Here is a 2,653-nt window from a genome sequence, read left to right as displayed (position 1 = left end):
ACTTATTTAGTGCTCACCTTACATTAGACTCTAAGGCCTATGGGTGCAAAGCCAATAGCTGCCTCATTTAATGCTGTATTTCCAGTGCCTGGCACAGAACTTGGCATACAGTAGATGTTCAATAAATACTTTAAAAATAAATAAGTTAATACATGGTACAAATATAATTGAAAGAGAAGTCAGTAAACTAAAATGTTCTTGATCCTGATCTCTGGATTTATACTAATGGAAAATCAGACTACGTGCTGAAGAGAATCTTAGGAAACTTTAAGTCTAACCCTATCTCTGCCTTTAATTATGGTTATAACCTTACTCTATGAGCCTCAATTTTTTCCTCTATAAAATATGGGAACTAAAGTGGATGATCCCTGACATTATTTCACCAAAACTAAATTCTGTCACCTAAGATAGGTGGTAAACCAGAATACGATCCCCAAAATAGAATGAGTTCATATATTAAAATCTTCATATAAAATGATTGCTCTATTCTAGAATCATAGGCCAGGAGTATGAATCCTGACCATGGGGACCACCAATTTTGTTCTTTGTTTTTCTTTCCATTCTTTCATGCACTCAAATAATTATTAAACAGTTACTTTGCGTGTTCTGGCTCCACTGATTCTTTAAAATTAATCTCACCAATCTATATCCCTGCCTTGATGAGGCACCCCTGCTTGAGCTCTGTAGGTTCAATCTTTGATGATAATCAGAGCCCCAGTCATCAAAGGTCTATCATGTATATCCCATAAAGTGATTAAGATAAGTTCATTTCTGACTTTGATGTATTATGAAAATGACAGAATCTAATCCTCCCTGAAGTATAATTTTCTGGAATAGAATTTTGGTATCAAAAAGATACCGAAGTCAGGGCTGGCTGCAGTGGCTCACGCCTGTAATCCCCAGCACTTTGGGAGGTTGATGTAGGAGGACCACTTGGGATCAGGAGTTCAAGAACAGCCTGGGCAACATAGTGAGACCTTATCTTTCTTTCTTTTTTTTTTTTTTGTGAGCAACAGGGCTGTTTATTTCACCTGGGTGCAGGTGGGCTGAGTCCTAAAAGAGAGTCAGAGAAGGAAGACAGGGGTGGGGCCGTTTTATAAGATTTGGGTAGGTAAAGGAAAATTACAGTCAAAGGGGAGTTGTTCTCTGGTGGGCAGGAGTGGGGGTCACAATGTGCTCAGTGGGGGAGTTTTTGAGCCAGGATGAGTCAGGAGAAGGAATTTCACAAGGTAATGTCATCACTTAAGGCAAGGACTGGCCATTTTCACTTCTTCTGTGGTGGAATGTCATCAGTTAAGGCAGGAACAGGCCATTTAAATATCACTTTTGTTATTCTTCAGTTACTTCAGGCCATCTGGATGTATACGTGCAGGTCACAGGGGATAAGATGGCTTAGCTTGGGCTCAGAGGCCTGACATTCCTGTCTTCTTATATTAATAAGAAAAATAAAACAATAATGTTCAAATGTTGGGGCGGGGAAAATTTTTGGGGGTGGTATGGAGAGATAATGGGCGATGTTTCTCAGGGCTGCTTCGAGCGGGATTAGGGGCGGCGTGGGAACTTACAGCGGGAGAGATTAAGCTGAAGGAAGATTTTGTGGTAACGGGTGATATTGTGGGGTTGTTAGAAGAAACATTTGTCATATAGAATTATTGGTGATGGCCTGGATATGGTTTTGTACGAATTGAAAAAAGAACGGAATAAGACAAGACGAAAAGCAGGTATTAAAGGACTAAGAATTGGGAGGACCCAGGGCATCTAACTAGAGAGTGCCTAAGGAGGTTCAGCATAGCCCTGACAGCAAAGATTATTTATTTACTTTAAGAGGGAGTTAAGAGTGGCAGTTTGGGGATAGCAACAGGAAATATCAGCTGTGATGGCTTGGAGAAATAGTGTAAACCGGCAGTGTAAACAAGAGCAGGGCATTTATGAGTAGTTGAGAATAGTGAATAGGAGTATGACCAGATAGAAGATAGTAGGGATGACAAGTTTTTTTTTTTTTTGGGTGAGGGGGTGGCGCAGTCCAGGTTGCTCTGGTGTCTGGAATGAGACTGGGGCCTAATAAAAAGGAGCGTCTATACAGGAGCTCAAATGGACTGTACCCTGTAGCATTCCAAGGACAGGCCCGAATTCTGAGAAGCGCAAGTGGTAAAAGTATTGTCCAGTCCTTTTTTTAAGTTGGTGGCTGAGCTTGGTGAGCTGTGTTTTTAAAAGACCATTAGTTCACTGAATACTAAGAGCCTGACAAACTGCTTGGGTGATTTGACTAATAAAGGCCAGTCTGTTATAGGACTGTATAGAGGTGGGAAGGCCAAACTGAGGAATTATATCTGACAGAAGGGAAGAAATGACCATGGTGGCCTTCTTAGACCCTGTGGGAAAGGCCTCTACCTATCCAGTGAAAGTGTCTACCCAGACCAAGAGGTATTTTAGTTTCCTGACTCGGGGCAAGTTGAGTAAAGCCAATTTGCCAGTCCTGGGTGGGGGCAAATCCACGAGCTTGATGTGTAGGGAAGGGAAGGGGCCTGAATAATCCCTGAGGAGTAGTAGAATAGCAGATGGAACACTGAGAAGTTATTTCCTTGAGGATAGATTTCTACGATGGAAAGGAAATGAGAAGTTCTAAGAGGTGGGCTAGTGGCTTGTACTACAG

General features: G+C 41.7%; 1 annotated feature.

Moving 5' to 3' along the window:
• Window positions 1,005-1,506: an enhancer, noted in NCBI's record as "NANOG hESC enhancer chr10:111327505-111328006 (GRCh37/hg19 assembly coordinates)". NCBI's record gives its function as "activates a minimal SCP1, AML or CMV promoter by ChIP-STARR-seq in primed H9 embryonic stem cells {active_cell/tissue: H9 hESC(primed)}" and the evidence as "EXISTENCE:reporter gene assay evidence [ECO:0000049][PMID:30033119]".

The sequence above is a fragment of the Homo sapiens genome, chromosome 10 (genome assembly GCF_000001405.40).
Source record: "Homo sapiens chromosome 10, GRCh38.p14 Primary Assembly".
NCBI lineage: Eukaryota > Metazoa > Chordata > Mammalia > Primates > Hominidae > Homo > Homo sapiens.
The sequence above is the reverse complement of the archived record's forward strand: the minus strand, read 5'-3'. Positions and strand labels throughout refer to the sequence as shown.